The 18,906-nt window shown below is 38.3% G+C and overlaps 1 protein-coding gene across 4 annotated transcripts in view; it reads left to right on the forward strand.

The window, feature by feature from the left end:
- TRHDE (thyrotropin releasing hormone degrading enzyme) overlaps positions 1 to 18,906 on the forward strand; it is a 583,493-nt gene that overhangs the window by 278,333 nt on the left and 286,254 nt on the right. For all 4 annotated transcript variants that reach the window (XM_017019244.2, NM_013381.3, XM_017019243.3 and 1 more), the window contains one exon: positions 12,397 to 12,523. In XM_017019244.2, the coding sequence (XP_016874733.1) occupies positions 12,397 to 12,523 (127 nt within the window). The remainder of the gene's footprint in view (positions 1 to 12,396; positions 12,524 to 18,906) is intronic.

Here is an 18,906-nt window from a genome sequence, read left to right on the forward strand (position 1 = left end):
CACCAAAGTTAGCAGTTTCACAGCTGTGAAGAATTATACCTACAACAAAGAGAGAAACACAAAAAGGAACACACACTGTGCTCCCACAGGAAGTTGAAAATCTAATCCGAAGCAGTGAATTAACTGGCAAGAAGATAAGAAGGTATAATATATTAGCTTCCCATTGCAGCCGTAAGAAATTTTTGCAAATTCAGTGGCTTCACACAACACAAACTTATTGTCTTACTCTTCTGGAGGTTAGAAATCCAAAATGAGTTTTACAGTGCTAAACCAAGGACTGTGGAGGGCTGGTCCCTGTGGAGGCTCTGTGGGATGATCTGGTTCCCTGCCTCTCCAGCTTCTAATACTGCATCCATTGCCTTCCCTGGCTTGTGGCTCCTTTCTCCATCTTTGCATCTTCACATTTTTTTCACATTTCTGTCTGCTCCTGTCATCGTATTGCCTTCTCCTCTTCGGAGGTCCAACGAACTCTTTCTGCCTCCCCCTTATAATGACATTTGTGATTACACTTAGGATCTACTTTGATAATCCAGGATAATCTCCAGTAATCTAGTAATCTCTTAATTTAATCACACCTGCAAAGTTCTTTTTGCTGTAGAAGGCAACATTAAGATGTAGCTATCTTTGGGGGCCATCACTCAGCCTACCACACACATATTTAGAAAAATGTGACAATATCAGTGTGAATATAGCAAAGTCCTGCCTGTTCCTGGAAGTCCCTGTAAGTAACTTAAACTTGTAAATTCCACAGCTTAGTAAATAAATGTGAAGTGATTTACAAGAAGAGACTATACAGTATGCCACAGTGCTAATTTCCTTGCCTGAAGCAAAATGCAGTTGGAAGATGTAATCAATCTATTATAGCAGCGTTTTAGTACTAGAGTGGACAAGTACCTTCAAAGTTTATTGCCATTTTATGGGAGTCAGAAACATATTGTCAGTCCCTATTGGGTGCAAGGCATCGTATTAGACACAGTAAGGAGTGAAAAGACCGAGCCAATGGTTAAGAAACTTAAAGTCTTGTAGAAAGATAAGCCAAACACACTTTAAGTATAAGAGCCTATAAACCTACAAAATAAGGGCCATGGGGCCCAAAAACCCCCATAGTATGTAGCAGACCTGTTTCAGAATTTTTAGTGAGTGTTTTTCTCATGAATTTTTAGTAAAATTCTGTAAAGAGGGAAGGGGGAAAGTACAAGCAGGGACAGGCCATTAGAGCAACTTTATCAATGATAATACTTGGATTTGCCTTATAACAGTATTTGCTATGGTGTGAAATTTAGCGTAAGGCTGACTTTTGACCTCAGTAAAGAAGTCTAAGTAATCGTTCTCAAAATATTCATTATATGTATCTGTGGTGCAGATTCTTCGTGAGATTCACCAAGAGGCTTTGAGATGTCTTTCTGCAATGTGTTTTTGTTAGACTGATAGGTTTTGAGGTAGTTGTGGTTTTCATATCATCATGTGCCTCCTTCTTAGCACTGAGATTTTACTCCCCATCCATCACCAATTGTAAATTCTCCTCCTTCTCAGAATGAGTTCTTCGACTATGGTGATGGAGGGTGCCTGTTACTGGCTGTTCTTGCCGTAAAAACCACAGCACAAATTCTTCACCTGTAATATTATGCTTTTCTACTCACTGGCCTTCTTGTCTCAATGCATCTTAAGTTCTGTTGCCTAAATAATCTCCCTTTGTCGTTTTCAATCATGTCACTCTGCCTCAAACTCGGCAGTGGCTCTCAACTCCTCAAAGCCTCATGTCCAGTCTTCATATGAGACGTCAAGGCTCTTTGGGCTCTGCCATTTGCCACTCCCGGGCCAGTGCCTTCCCCTTCCTCCTTCCAGCTTCTTCTTTATGTTCATTGGCTCTTGAATGTGAATCTGGGCATTAGTTCCCTGTTTCTTCTAGACTTTCATGTGTATTTATTTCCCTTTTGCTTAGAAAAAAAAATGTTATCTTCTGAATTTTAAATAAGACTAATACTCCTGAGCTTTTAGTTTCTTGTTTACAACATCCTTTCCTCTTTGTATCACCCTGCTGCTTTTTCCCTGGCTTGTTCTGTTTTCCTGATTTGTAGGAAGAACCCCCAAATCAAATTATATTCACATAGGTGAATTAATTCAGCTTTACCGGCTGCAATTCAGTGCATTGTGGTTTTGGAATTATTAAAGAGGGGGACTAGTTTTTCAGTTATAGGCAAAAGGAGAAGTAAATGTATTGTTATAGTGGTATTTTAAAGCTGTGAAATAATTACTGTGTCTTCCAAAGTTTCTGATGTACTCTTGCAGCATAAAATTTTCTCAGAGAATAGCTCTGGCAAGTCAGAAGGTTTATTTAACTTAAAGTACCAAATTACAAATGTCAAATTAGAGAAAATGTTATTTAAGTCTTTAACAGGTGCACTACTGTTGTAAATGTTTTTTTCTTTTTCTTGGCTGTGTGGTATAACTATACACTGTTTCACGTGATTATATAACAACTACCACAATTCATTTTTAAACAACAAATCATTAATACAGTCTAGAAGAAAGGCTTTAGACAGAGAGATTTAGTTTCATTCCCTTGAAATCGAATCAATGACTAGAAAATCTCTTCAAATTCTTAATGAACAAAATCAGAATTTATTGCTAATTCCAGGTAGTTTATGATGATAAACTTAAAAAGTCTGTAAGGTACATTAAGTTATTAGAAGAAAGTCTCTAAATTTATTTAGTAGAAGATTTCATAATAATTCTGACAACTGAATGTGTCTTCTTTTTTTGCATTATATTGCAATTATATATGTATTTTTACCTTTCTTTAAATAATTTTAGTACAATGAAAGATAGAACTTTGTATGTAATAATTTGAGTAATTGCTCATCTTTACTCTCATGGGACTCTGACCTTGTTCCGCTGAGTCACCATCTCTTTAGATAGAACTTTTCTGAAGAGCCAATGTAAATTAGATCAAATTTGTTATTCTAAATTATAGGACCATGTTATTGTGTCTCCCCCAGTGGACTACAAGCTTCTTGAAAGAAGGGAGCTTTTGTCTTTTGCTTACCTTTGGACACTCAGCATGTGAATAGTGACCTGACCCTTAATAGACTCTTATTAACTATTAACTGAATAAATAAATGTCCCATTGATGAAATCCTTAAACAGTCTTTGATGTTCTTTTTCTAAATTGCACAGCTATGAGATATAATTAATTCAAATCTATCTGAAGTTCTCTTCCATTTTGACACTTTCCTAAAGAATATTCTACCCTAATAGTGTTGAGTATCTGGCACCAGTGCTGTGTTTCCTACCCTTGTGTACACAGCTGGCATTTCACGGATTACAGCACTTTTTTCTGCCAAGTCCAGATATGGTCTCAGGATTCTTCCCAGCATGTCCTGTAAGCAGCCACCCACAGTGTCAGGATAGCTGAAACTTTATTGCCATCTTTGACTTGTGGGAAAGTGAGATGACCAAAGGGGTTGAAGATATCTGCCTTTAGTATGTTTTTCCTTTCAATGATAAAAATACTTAAAATCTATAAAGAGATGAAATAAACATTTATAGCGAGTCCATGAAATTACAGAGTAAAGGCTACTAGGTCCCATAGAAACACCAACAGGAGCTCCCATTTTATCCTAAGGGATCAAAAATTTGTAGTCCTCCACCTTAGCTCATTGCTATGATGTATTACCACCAGGGTGGTGCCATAAGCATATTTTTCCACAGTCAGCGTCTGTTTTGTGTTGGTTACTACAGTGATTTCTGTTCAATCAGTAACAAGTTCATGGCCAGTCAGGAAAGCAAAGAAGAATACACAGGAGTAAAGGATGGAGAAAGGTCGCTGAGCAGTTGATTTGTGTTGTCAAGGGAAATAAAAAATGTAAAGGAGTAAAACTGTGTCAGGACAAAAAAAACCTTTTCATTATTTTCTCTTCAAAATAAATGTAGACTAGATGAGAAGAATTTTGGCATGTTTGTATGACACACCAACCTCTCAGACGTAATATAATAAATAGATAATGATAAACTATAGCCCCCAGAAGGAACTTTGAGCTGAGACCCAGAGAAGTTAATGACTCTCACAACTAGACAGTAGTTACAGAAAGTTGACCCTCCAGTCCCTGCATACCATTTCCTAGTGTAATGTCCTTTCCACCGGACTAAATGTTTATAGAGTTTGGTTTATATTGGTTGTTGGAAGAAGCTCTGCAGAGGAAGAGATAAAGCCTAGTAAGCAATTTACAGTTTCAGAGCTGGGCTCTTATCATGGAATGTCAGAAAACGCTGCAAATAAGCAGGTGTAATAAAATTATATTTTATTGCTTTTGAGTAATAACTATGTTTATGAAGATTTACTCTCTATGTTATGATTAAGTAGGACCTAGTTACTCTAAAAGAAGAAAACAACTGTGATTTCTTTTCACAGTGTAAAGTGAATTATTGTACAAAATTCACTTGATTAACCATACAGGAATTACTCGGTTTGCAAAATATTTTGTACTTTTCTCCCACTTGTTCAACTGGGTCTCATGTGTTCCAGCAGGTCACTGGAGTGAGATACTGGGAGTACAGATAAGGTGAATGATTGTTTTTAAGTAAAAATGTGACTACAATTGGCTTTACTTGGTAACTAAAGGACATGTTCAACAGAGGGTTAGGACTGATTGAATAAATCCATCTATTTCTCTGCATCCCTACTGCCATCTCTCCAGTCCAAACCACGGTTATCTTTCATCTGGACTTCTACAATAGTCTAACTCATGTCCTTTTATTTGTTTCTGTTTCCTCCTAATCCATCATCTTCACTGCAGCCAATGTAGTCTGCTAAAACCTAATTCTGATCATGTCATTCTATGGCTTAAAATCTTTAAGTGACTTGCTTGTGCCGACGGTATTAAATTCATATTTTGCAATTCGGTTTACAGACACTTGTGTAATATATTTTGTAGCTTCTCTTTACTTCTTCAGTGTCACCTATCACTATATATCTCCTCACTTTTCTAATTAGTCTTTCTGCCTGCAGTTTTAACAGGCAGCTTTCTATATCTTAGTTCACCTAGTATAGGTTGTGATTTTTCTGAAATGTGAAACTAATTTTATCATGTTCTGGCTTAATATCCTCCTATGAATTCCCACACTTTAAAAGAATGTATTGTTAATGTTATTTTTTTTTTTTTGAGATGGAGTCTTGCTCTGTCACCAAGGCTGGAATGCGATGGCGTGATCTTGGCTCACTGCAACCTCTGCCTGCACCGTTCAAGCAATTCTTCTGCCTCAGCCTCTCAGGTAGCTGGGATTACAGGCATGCACCACCATGCTCAGCTAATTTTTATATTTTTGTTAGAGATGGGGTTTCGCCATGTTGGCCATGCGGGTCTCGAAATCCTGACCTCAGGTGAGATCCACCTGCCTTGGCCTCCCAAATTGCTGGGATTACAGGCGTGAGCCACTGCCCCTGGCCAATTCCCACACATTTTAAAATAACATCCTAGTATTCAGTAATCCCTTTACGGTCACTTATTATTTGGTCAGAACTGTTGTCATAGTACATATTGTTACCTTAGTCTGGGATATCATCCTCCTCTTGGTAGCTTCCTGTGTCCAGCTTATCTTTCAAGATTCAGCTGAAACTTCCCCTCCTCTGAGATGGGTCCTTATTACATACTTCATACTTCCTTAGGACCTATACATACCTATGAAACTCATTCATTTGCTCATTTATTCATCAAAGTTGTATCTAGTAGGCATTTGAGAGGCAAACTGAACAAAATATTTCGACTCACAAAACTGGCTTTTATTTATTTATTTATTTTTATTATTATTATACTTTAAGTTTTAGGGTACATGTGCACAATGTGCAGGTTAGTTATATATGTATACATGTGCCATGCTGGTGTGCTGCACCCATTAACTCGTCATTTAGCATTAGGTATATCTCCTAATGCTATCCTTCCCCCCTCCCCCAACCCCACAACAGTCCCCAGAGTGTGATGTTCCCCTTCCTGTGTCCATGTGTTCTCATTGTTCAGTTCCCATCTATGAGTGAGAACATGTGGTGTTTGGTTTTCTGTCCTTGGGGTAGTTTACTGAGAATGATGATTTCCAGTTTCATCCATGTCCCTACAAAGGACATGAACTCATCCTTTTTTATGGCCGCATAGTATTCCATGGTATATATGTGCCACATTTTCTTAATCCAATCTATCATTGTTGGACATTTGGGTTGGTTCCAAGTCTTTGCTATTGTGAATAGTGCCGCAATAAACATACATGTGCATGTGTCTTTATAGCAGCATGATTTATAGTCCTTTGGGTATATTCCCAGTAATGGGATGGCTGGGTCAAATGGTATTTCTAGTTCTAGATACCTGAGGAATCGCCACACTGACTTCCACAATGGTTGAACTAGTTTACAGTCCCACCAACAGTATAAAAGTGTTCCTATTTCTCCACATCCTCTCCAGCACCTGTTGTTTCCTGACTTTTTAATGATTGCCATTCTAACTGGTGTGAGATGGCATCTCATTGTGGTTTTGATTTGCATTTCTCTGATGGCCAGTGATGCTGAGCATTTTTTCATGTGTCTTTTGGCTGCATAAATGTCTTCTTTTGAGAAGTGTCTGTTCCTATCCTTTGCCCACTTTTCGATGGGGTTGTTTTTTTTTCTTGTAAATTTGTTTGAGTTCATTGTAGATTCTAGATATTAGCCCTTTGTCAGATGAGTAGGTTGCGAAAATTTTCTCCCATTTTGTAGGTTGCCTGTTCACTCTGATGGTAGTTTCTTTTGTGTGCAGAAGCTCTTTAGTTTAATTAGATCCCATTTGTCAATTTTGGCTTTTGTTGCCATTGCTTTTGGTGTTTTAGACATGAAGTCTTTGCCCATGCCTATGTCCTGAATGGTAATGCCTAGGTTTTCTTCTAGGGTTTTTATGGTTTTAGGTCTAACGTTTAAGTCTGTAATCCATCTTGAATTAATTTTTGTATAAGGTGTAAGGAAGAGATCCAGTTTCAGCTTTCTACATATGGCTAGCCAGTTTTCCCAGCACCATTTATTAAATAGGGAATCCTTTCCCCATTGCTTGTTTTTCTCAGGTTTGTCAAAGATCAGATGGTTGTAGATATGCGGCACTATTTCTGAGGGCTCTGTTCTGTTCCATTGATCTATATCTCTGTTTTGGTACCAGTACCATGCTGTTTTGGTTACTGTAGACTTGTAGTATAGTTTGAAGTCAGGTAGCGTGATGCCTCCAGCTTTGTTCTTTTGGCTTAGGATTGACTTGGCGATGTGGGCTCTTTTTTGGTTCCCTATGAACTTTAAAGTAGGTTTTTCCAATTCTGTGAAGAAAGTCATTGGTAGCTTGATGGGGATGGCATTGAATCTATAAATTACCTTGGGCAGTATGGCCATTTTCACGATAGTGATTCTTCCTACCCATGAGTATGGAATGTTCCTCCATTTGTTTGTATCCTCTTTTATTTCATTGAGCAGTGGTTTGTAGTTCTCCTTGAAGAGATCCTTCATGTCCCTTGTAAGTTGGATTCCTAGGTATTTTATTCTGTTTGAAGCAATTGTGAATGGGAGTTCACTCATGATTTGGCTCTCTGTTTGTCTGTTATTGGTGTATAAGAATGCTTGTGATTTTTGTACATTGATTTTGTATCCTGAGACTTTGCTGAAGTTGCTTATCAGCTTAAGGAGATTTCGGGCTGAGACAGTGGGGTTTTCTAGATATACAATTATGTCATCTGCAAACAGGGACAATTTGACTTCCTCTTTTCCTAATTGAATACCCTTTATTTCCTTCTCCTGCCTCATTGCCCTGGCCAGAACTTCCAACACTATGTTGAATAGGAGTGGTGAGAGAGGGCATCCCTGTCTTGAAAAACTGGCTGTTTCATGTGACTTGAGCTAATAGATAAAAATCTTTGCCCTCATGCAATGTGCATTCTGAAAAAATGGTAGCAAGAAGCAAAATGAATAAATAAAACTTATATTTTGCTAAATGGTGGTAAGTGTTTCAGGAAACAATAAAGCAAGAAAAGGAGATAGATGGTCCTGGGGTCAGAGGGAAGGATTTTCAGCAAGTGTGGGATTTGGACAAGTATCTAAAGAAGATGGAGGAACTAGCCATGGGGCTATCTAGGGGAAAACTCAAAATCCTTGATCGAGAATCTCTCTGGTATGTTTGAGGAGTGAAAAGGAAGCTAGTGTTATGAGTGGATTGAAGTTAGTGTGGAGCAAAGGACTAGGATATGAATCCAGAGAGCTAAAAGGGATTAGATTAGTATAGGACATTTGGGGCCCTTGTAAAAACCTTGGCTTCTACTGTGAGGGGAGAAGCCACTGAAGGAGGAAAACCAGAAGAGTGCGTGATTTGAAGCTCATTTTAACAAGAAGGTTTTGATTACTGTATACATAACAGCTTGAAGGAGCAAGGGACGAGGCATCAGTAGGAAAATAAAGCAGTCATTCAGGCAAGAAATGGAGAAGGCATGGACCAGGGTGGTAGTAGTGGGGTTGTGAGAAGTGGTTGGATTCTGGATGTATTGTTAAAAGTAGAGCCAGTAGGATATGCTGACTAACTGAACATGGAGTGTGAGAGAAAGAGGGGAAACAAGGATGATGAACATACAGGGGTTGGGTATGGACAGCTGGATAGAAGGAAAGAATTACCATTAACTGAGGTGGGAAAGATTTTAGAAGGAGAAGTGTGTGTGTGTGTGTGTGTGTGTGTGTGTGTGTGTGTGTGATATCAGGAGTTTGGTTTTAGACCTGTTAAGTTTGAGATGCTTGTTAGATCTCCAAGTAGAAATGTCAGGTGGACAGTTGAATTCATGAGTCTGGAAGTCTGGAATAACTGGATAAACTTTTGGCATCTACATGACATTTATGGCCATGAGACTAGATGTTATCACCCAGGCACTGAGCGTAGCAGAAAAGTAAAGAGATCAATGTATTGAAACCTGGGAACCCTCCAACATTAATCAATGATTGGGATGAGTAGAAGGAGGAATCGGGCAGGAGACTGAGGAGTGGCAGTGAGATAGATAGAAAAGTAAGAGAAGCGAATAAAATGCTTTAAGGACAGGAAGTGATCGATCAACTGTGCAAATGCTGCTGACAGCTGAAGCATGTTGAAGACTGAGAACTGACTGTTGGATTTGGTATCTTGAGGCCATTAGTGATCTTTAGGTGAACAGTTCTACTAGAGTAGTTGGAATGAAAGCCTTGTTGAAATGAGTTCAAGGGAGACTAAAAAAAGGTATAAATAGGTGAATGCCCTACTTGCACCGATAGTCTCAGGTTGTAAGTATTCTCAGATGTGTTTTGGTTTGGCTGTTAACTGACATGTTCACCTTGGCTATACAGGAAACTCTTTCAAGGAGCATTATCTGGAAACCATAGCTGGAGGAACTGTAATCAAGAAAGCATAGATTGGTGATGTGGGAGATAAAGGGAGGAATTTGGGGAACTGTGCCTTTGAAAAGGCAAGAGGAGGTTAAATGTGAAGAGCTTAGCCTTGGATAGGAGCTTAGTCAGTTCATCCTTTGAAATGGCAGGGAAGGGAGGGTACATTGTTATATTTCTCACATTGTATTTTTGTTGTTAATTTATTTGTTTGCTTTTCCACATAGTATGAACCTCTTAAGAGCAGTAAGTATGAATGTCTTGTTCATTTTGTGGTAGGAATTTTATTGTTCTATTTCTATTCCCTAGTACAATGCCTAGCACACAGCAGGTAAATAATAGAAGTTTGAATGAGCAAATGAAGACGCTGTGCTGAACATGTATATGTTTTATCTTCTTGCTTAAATTGGATCATTTCCATTAAATCTTGACAAGCAGATTAATTTAATTGTGTTTCTTTTGTCTGGGTGTACAGACAGCTTGACTAACTGGTAAGATCGATTGATAGGAATGGCTGTGTTTCCACCAAAAACAGGGAAGCGTCCTAAGAGTAAAACCAGTGACATTTGCTGTATCATTTTAGAGTAGTTCCGGTTATGGTTTTAACATGAATCTACTAGATACTTTATGTAGAATCTTTTGAAAGCTATTCATTCTTCCTCAGTATCCATTTTACATTTATATTTTACCATTCATATGGCAGGTATCATTATCTGTGGTAACAATGTAACTTAATAAATGAGAAGGTCTTTGAGAGTGGTGATTGTATCTTCATTGCTTTTTATCTCAATAATGCATGTCTTCTTCACTGCTAAATTAAAAATGCTTAGTCCAGGCCCTGATACAAGATGGGTGCGAATAAATATTTGTTGAATGAATGAATGCACAAATTAATGAAGACTGTCTCTTGTGGATGTTGTTGGTGCACAGACAGACTAGATCCCTTTTCCTGTTTGGTATGCACGTCTTCTAGCTTCCACTGCTTTGCTCCTAACAGCTCACACAGGACATCTTCTCCAAAGGACTATCTCTGGGCAGTGAGACCTACATCACCAAGATGCTCAAGAACCAGAAGTGCCTGGGGTTTTATGTCTTCCCCTTGGTAACCAGTAGCCAATGACAAGGTGCAAGAGTATGGAAGTCTAGTTCTCTTGCCTCAAGGCAGTGTGAACTCACCAGCGTAATTCACACTCCAGAGCTCCTGTGGATCAGGCTGAGTCCAGGACTTCACCTGAAATTGCACCCTTGCTTAGTTTATTATCCTCCATTTTCCTGCTTCCCCCATTCTCCTGTAAGTTTCTCCTTAGAGCACTTCTTTATTAAATCACTTGTACATTCATCCTTTTTTAAAGGTCCGCTTCCTATGAACTTTACTTCAGATATTGCATGTTTGTTCACAGTTATTGTCAGGGGTAGGGGATCCTAACCACTACCTTCTTAAGAGTGTCAAGTTCTGCTGTTGCAGGTAGTCTCTCCTGATAGTTTTTGGTTTTCTAATACTGCCAGCCCAAAATGTTGGTGACTGTAGACTAAATTTGATATTTTATTTAATTGTTGGTAGGAAAGTAGCTTTACAATTTCAGTCAATAATTGTTGTAGAATTTAGTAAATAACTTACTGCATTGCAGGTCTTTCGAACATACAGTCAGAATGTGTTTTCCTTGACTTCATACTCTTTTTAATTACACACATTTCTGTTCTCTCTCTTTAGGCAGAGATAATAAAGAGTTAATCATATAATCAATTTTTATTATAAATAATAATAGATGATGTATAACATGTACAGCTTTATTTGTTTTTAATTGAATGTAAATATTCAATGAGTACAAATTTCTTTTTTTATTGAATGTAAGTGTTCACTTCTATATACTGAGTAAACCATTTTTTTTTTTTAGATATTTGAAAAGAACACAAATTCCCTTATCTGTAAAATGGGATTGGAAGTAATATGTTTTAGAACTGAAAGCACTTTAGCAGCCAGCTGGTGGCCAACACCTTCATTTTATAAATGAGAGTGTTTGAGACCCAAAGAAATTAAGTAATTTGTTCAATATCACCCACCTTGGTTAGTGGCAGAGTAGGACTAAAATCCAACTCCCAAGCCACTGTGCTCTCTACTGCTCCACAAAATACATATTTCTTTTTCATAGAATTGATATGAGGATTAGGGACCACATCTGTGAAAAATAGATTTAGCCTTTGGAAAGAAAGATGCTAGATAGCTTTATGAAAGCTTTATGAAAACTAATCTCATTTTAACCTTTTCCATACAATTGTTAGTTTTGTTCAGTTTCATGTTACTTGCTTTAGGCTTTTTTTTTTTTTTGGCCAAGGACTAGATAATATACAATGCTTGCTTTAAAAATCAATATTAAGTATCTGGATTGTGTTAGAAATATGAATTATTCTGCTGAGTTTGAAGCCAGGAGCAGTTGCAGACAGCCTTCCAGAATGGTGATTGCTTGTGTACATGAAAAGTTTTCTATCCCTACTTTGCATATTGGGAATAAAGACAGTTGATTCCAAAGAAAAAAAGGAAGCATAAATTATAGATATATATTCTCAGTCTGGTAATACTTCGGAAGCTTGATACAACCTGTCTTTAACAAACCATGAATTTTTTCTCCTGCCAAGCCACCATATCCTGCCTACTTTCAGCATAGTCAGGGTCCCATTATACTAATCCACTGTACCTTCCTATCTCTAGCAAGCACATGTAAGTGATAACGTTGAATATTTATTTTGATGCAAGGTGTATAAATCTTCTCAATGTCATCTTGTAAAGCGAGGAAATTGTGACTTGCTCTCCTTGGTTACTTCAATTACTTCAATTGTTTAAGTTTGGTCCTTTCAGCCCCACTGTGCTTTGATATAGTGTATGAACGAGAATCCTGTTTAAGTTTTGTAGTATTCTAAGTGATTTGTGTAGATTCATATTTGCAGGGAAGATAAAACTCAAGTGCTAAAAGGCTAAAGTAACTTTTATATATATTTTTAATTAGGTACGATTATATGCAAGACCTGATGCTATCAGAAGAGGATCCGGGGACTATGCTCTCCATATAACAAAGAGATTAATAGAATTTTATGAAGACTACTTTAAAGTGCCCTATTCCTTGCCAAAACTAGGTAAGAATTTTCTTGGTTATTTTATTGGAAGGGCTCCTTGAAAGTGGAATTTCTTCTTCATGTGTTTATTTGAGCCATCCAGAAGCATGAAAATTCTGAGATTTATATTTTTAGAGAAGATAAGCACAAAAAAAAATTTCTTTTGAAGAGGTAAAATAAGATTTAGTGTTTCTGGAATCTTGCCAATAAGTGCTCATAGGAATTAAGAAAGGCATTATGTTAGTTTAGGATTCCAAAAGACAAGCCAAATAGCTATAATTTGTTGAATATGTACTATGGAGGGGTGCTTGCCAACATCATATTTAATCAGTAAAACTACCATGAGGGTAGGTACAACTAGAACATTTTCCACATAAGGGAGTTGAGACCCAGGGAGTTTTCCATTCATCTGGACAGCCAGTAAGTGAAGGGGTTGGGATTTCAAACTAGGTCTTGATGACTCCCCGAACAACTCAATATTTTACATGGAGAAGACATTCATTGATTTGTTTCTCCTTCCAAATTTTCACATGTCAGACCTCGATGTATGTTATCCCTTAGATTATTTTTGTTCAGTCATATATCTAGTACACTATTATAGTAAATACAATACAAATAAGAGAGAAGAGAAACTTGGTAATAATGGAGATTGTATTCTCTGTGAGTGTTCTTATATTTCTTCCTTTTACAAAGAGAATGCACTTGGTAATTGTCGGTCAAATGCATAAATGAATTAATTGGTTATCTGAATTTCAATGAGGCTGCTGCTTTTGCCAGGGAGTCAACACGATTTTCCAGGAAGTTAAAAGAGTACCTACATGCATTAGAAATGTGGAAGTTATTTTTCCTTCCCAGAAAACCTGTTTTGAAATATTACATCACAACAGTCCTTTGCTCCCCTCTCTTCCCTCCTCTTCCCTTATCTTTCCCAAGAGCATTTTTGATCAGATTCCACGTTAAAGGTATTTCTCATTGGCAAGAATAAAGTGCTTACTTGATCAAAAGTTTTTGTGTTTGAACCACAGGGTCTCCTCCCTGGAGAACCAGGCCGCTTTCATTAAAGTACCTGCCTGCTGTGTAGCTTTATTGGTCTTGCAATGAGTAGTTAGTTCAGAAAGTTGACAGAATAGTTGATATTGTTATCAATGGGTGTGACATACAATTTTTATGAGTGATATTACAAAATTCTGAAATCTTTTTGAAATATGTACTTTTAGAATTCATAGGCAAAATTTTATTTTAAACCGGATCAATGTTTTGTTTTGTTCTGTTTTCCTTCTCTTTTCTCCCTGTATTTCAACTTCCCTGTTAGAATCTGTTATACTTAAATCTCCCTGGTGGTCACCCAAGGCAGAAAGGAATACTTGACCTCATTTGCATGGAAGGTGGCACTGTTATCTACTCCAGGTATAACTGGCTGGGAACTTCCCAGCTTGACCCTAATGTAAAATTCACAAGTGCTTATATTGCAAGTACAGCAAGAGAAATAAAATGTGGATCTTTATTTGTCCCCTTCAGACCAGTAATTAGCAGAGGAACTCAATGTATAACTTCAGGGGGTTCCATGTAACTGTCAGCTTGCAGCAGGAAGCATTTCTGTTCCTCTGTTTCACTCACAATTGAACCACGCAGCCTTTCATCTGTAGAAAAGAGCTTTGCTCACCATTGCCGCTACTTGTTAAGCTACCTTATGGTGTATATAATTGAATGACTTGACTTATCCCAGCATACTTCTTTTTATATATCTAGGGGAGTTACCACAGCCCATGGTGCTTTGTAAAATTTCTCTTAAAGTTCTACTTATTTTATATATCTACAGATATTTAGACCTATATGTTAATGGATTTATAAATATGCTTTGTAAATACCCCTTACATAAAAACCCCTAAGCACATACGCATTTTGACAAATCTCTACTTTCCATTATACATTATGAATCGTATTTTAAATAAATTCTATAGAAACCAGCTTAGTATTTGCTGGTGATGCATATGGATGTATCCTAGATATCAGCTGAGGCTGCCTTGACCCTTCATATCTAAGATGGTTTTCCAGACATATTCTACCCTTTCTACATGCCCTAATTTGATCTATAAGCATTTACTGAGTGCCTACCGTGGACATTTTTCTATGAGAAGCAGATATACCAGTGAATGAACAAGGCAAAAATCTCCTCTCTTCTGGGGCTTACATTCTTTTAGGTGAAGACAGACATTAAAGCAATTAGTAACATTTGTAGCATATCAGATTGGAGATACATGCCATTAAAAATAAAGCTAGAACAGATGGATAGGAAGTGTGGGGGACAGATGGGGCATGGGATAGGGGCTGAGTTTTTAAAATGGGCAATCATGGAAGGCTTCATTAGGAAGATGGCTTTTAAGTGAAGGACTAAACTCAGCAGATATCATGGGGCAAAAACTACAGGCAGAGGGAACAAAGTGCCTAGACATTGAGGTGAAAGTTTTCCTGGTGTTTTTGAGGAACAACAAAGAGGCAAGTGTGACAGGAGCAGAGTGAGTAAAGGGGTGAGAAGTAGATGACACGGTCAAGGAGGAATGGGTGGATGACAGATCATGGACCGCCAGCAGGCTGCAGCTTCCTTCCTTCCTTCCTTCCTTCCTTCCTTCCTTGCTTCCTTCCTTCCTTCCTTCCTTCCTTCCTTGCTTCCTTCCTTCCTTCCTTCCTTCCTTCCTTCCTTCCTTCCTTCCTTCCTTATTCCCTCCCTCTCTCCCTCCCTCCCTCCTTCTCTCTCTCTCTTTCTCTCTCTCTCTCTTCTTTCTTTCTTCCTTCCTTCCTTCCTTCCTTTCTTGTTTTGTGAGATGGAAATCTATGGGTCCATTTTAAGCAGAGGCATTGTAGAATCTGATTAATGTTGTAAAGGGTCATTCTGTGGCTAAACTGAGAATACACTGTAGGGCAATGATTCCCAATTGGGGGACAACTTTGTCCCTCAGGTGCATTTGGTAATATCTGGAGACATTTTTGTTTGTTACAACTTGGGGGGTGAGTACACTGTGTGCTGCTAGCAGTTGGTAGAGGCTCAGCTGATACTGCTAACCATCCTACAATGCACAGAATAGCTCTTCACAACAAAGAGTTATTTAGCCCAAACTATCAATACAACCAAGGTTGAAAGAACCTGATGTAAGAGGACATGACAGAGGTGTGACAACCAGATAAGAGGCTATGGCAAAATTCAGACAAAATATGATGGATGCTTGGATGAGGATGTTAACAGTTAGAGGTCAGAAGTGGTAGCATTCTGGATATATATTGAAAGTAGATACGAAAGTTTTTTTTTTTTTTTTTTGAGACGGAGTCTCGCTCTGTCGCCCAGGCTGGAGTGCAGTGGCGGGATCTCGGCTCACTGCAAGCTCCGCCTCCCGGGTTCACGCCATTCTCCTGCCTCAGCCTCCCAAGTAGCTGGGACTACAGGCGCCCGCCACTACGCCTGGCTAATTTTTTTGTATTTTTAGTAGAGACGGGGTTTCACCGTTTTAGCCGGGATGGTCTCGATCTCCTGACCTCGTGATCCGCCCGCCTCGGCCTCCCAAAGTGCTGGGATTACAGGCGTGAGCCACCGCGCCCGGCCGAAAGTTTTTAATAGTGAACGAAATATGTGATTGTAAGAGAAAGAGAGGCATCTAGGGCAATTCCAAGACTTTTGGCCTGAGAACCAGGAGGGTGGAATTGCCATTTAGTGAGACAGAAGGATTGTGGAAGGTGATAATTTTTGAGACTGACATGTCTATTTAACATTTAGGTGGCACTTTTATGTCTGTAAGAAATCCAGGTAGACAGTTGAATTTATAAATATGGAATTTGGGTGAGTAATCTGACTAGAGAGGTACATTTGCCAGAATATTATGATGTGTAAAGTTGTGAGGCTGAATGGGACTACCACAGCAGTGAAGGCAGATAGAAACAAAACAGGAGCAAGGGGGACTGGTCCCATGCTCAGAGGTTAAAGACTCCTAGGAGTCAGAAACGACTACTGAGCGGGAGCATGTAGTTGATATTAAGGGAACCAGGTGTTTGTGGTGTCTGAGACATCAAGTGGGGAAAGCATTTCAAAAAGTAAGTAATATTTGTGGTAAATCAAGTTAGATGAGGTCTCAGAATTAACCATTAATTGATGCTAGCAATATGAAGGTCACCGGTGACCTTGACAAAAGCAGTTCTAGAATACAGACTTGACAGGTGTGCTTAAAAGCAAATGGGCATGGGGTTGGGGAGGGGGGGACAGTGACTAGAAGCAGTGAGTGAAGATCACATGTTGGCATTTCTAAAAATGTTCAGTGGGGAGGATTCTGGGAATGGAGGGAGAGGGAGACAGGCCTGTAGTATAACAATACTAACAATACCCATCTCTGGAGAAGAGCTGTTTCTGCTGAAGTGATGGCATTCTTACCTCACAAATTATCCCTGTCCCAAATCATGTCCAGGGAGGTGTGGAATTTGCCTCTTTCATTGGTTTGCATTAGAAAACCAAAAATTGAAATAAATAAATAAACAGGAAGACTCTCTACCAGTTGGCCTGACCTGACTTTACTGAAGCTTTGGAAGGAATGTTTGTATGTGTGAATTTCAGGGTGTTACATTGCAAAACAGACAAACAAGAAAGTACAAAAAAAATCTTAAAACTTAGTACTGGATCCTTCTTCTCTTAAAAGTCATTTTGCTGTTCTGTCATAAACTCTACAATACCTTCTTTCTCCCTGAATTCTTTTTTATTTCTGATGTGGAATTAGTTTAAATTTCTCCCCTGCAGCCTCATCTCATGCTAGTTCATCTCTAAGGATTTGAGTTTCCACCTCCAGTAGTTTATCGGGATAGTTCCCTAAGAGGAATTCTGATTCTTGCTGTTAGGACAATAATTTATTCTCTTTGTTACATAAAGACACTCCTGTATCATTGATAAGCCAACATAAGTAACCAGTGCACGCTGTGTGAAAATTTGTTTTTAAATCTCTAAATGAGGTAATTAAAACTAAGGTTTGCAGAGATTTTCTATTTCTTGGTATTAAATTGTAGTAAGAGGTGTAGCACCTACTTAATACAATACACCAATCCTTTCTATATCTATGCGCCCTATTTTCATAAGAACTGTCAGAGGCATGGGGTGTTACTTTAAAAGAAAGTTGTAGACATATAAAGAATTGTTATCTTTTTTTATATCCCAAAAGCATATCGATAACAATGACAACTATTTGTGTTTACTACATGTGAGCCACTTTTAAGGGCTTTGACCATTCCAACCCATTTAATTTTTTTTTTTTTTTTTTTTTTTTGAGACGGAGTCTGGCTTTGTCACCCAGGCTAGAGTGCAGTGGTGTGATCTCGGCTGACTGCAACCTCCGCCTTCCGGGTTCAGCTGATTCTCCTGCCTCAGCCTACCCAGTAGCTGGGACTATAGGCATGTGCCACCACACCCAGCAAATTTTTGTGTTTTTAGTACAGACAGGGTTTCACTATGTTGGTCAGACTGGTGTCAAACTCCTGACCTCAGGTGATCCACCTGCCTTGGCCTCCCAAAGTGCTGGGATTACAGACATGAGCCACCATGCCCGGCCCCCCATTTGATCTTTATTGCAGCTTTTTCTGGTAATTTCTGTTTTTTTTTTTTTTTTCATTTTCCAGATGAGGAAATTTAGGCACTCAGTGACTAAGTAATATGTTTTGACCACACAGCAGAAAACATAGATTTGGAATTCAAACCCAGGCTGTCTGGCTCCAAAATCTTGGGATTCGGCTGAAATGGATTCCAGAAATTTAAATAATTCAGAGATCAAAATATAGCTTGCCTTATAAACTCGATGATTTGATTGTCAGAGGAATGATATAACAGCTATTTTTGTTAATTTTTTACTGATTTTACTGATGGTCTTTGTAGAAAATTTGAAAACTTAAAAAAGTGCACATGTTATAACTCATAATTTTATTAACCTGAAGACATGTGAGTATTGCAAATGTGTTTTAATTTAGGTGCACTATAGTTAATTAGGCATCAGATAAAATGACTCAGGCTTATACTGTAATATTTTGTTATTCACCCTATTTAGACTTCAATTAATGACAGTGTTCAGTTTCCTTTTACTACTACTCTGTAATTTGTAAATCAATGTTTCAAAAAGGAGTTTGATTGCTTTTTTTCAAGACACCATGCTTTTATGAAGAATTCATTACCTATCTGGAACAGTGCTATGATTGTAGAGGGAGCCCAGGTGTTTTGTAACTAGAATTTCTGCCCTCAAGGAGATTGTGGTTTTGTCGAGGAGAGAATGCAATATTTACAGAAATGAATGAATTAGAGACTCGCACAATATGGAATATAATCAAGCACCAACATTTTGTAGAGTAAATATTTAGCACTATGTTGAAAGAGGGATCATTGTACAATG

The sequence above is a fragment of the Homo sapiens genome, chromosome 12 (assembly GCF_000001405.40).
Source record: "Homo sapiens chromosome 12, GRCh38.p14 Primary Assembly".
Lineage (NCBI taxonomy): Eukaryota > Metazoa > Chordata > Mammalia > Primates > Hominidae > Homo > Homo sapiens.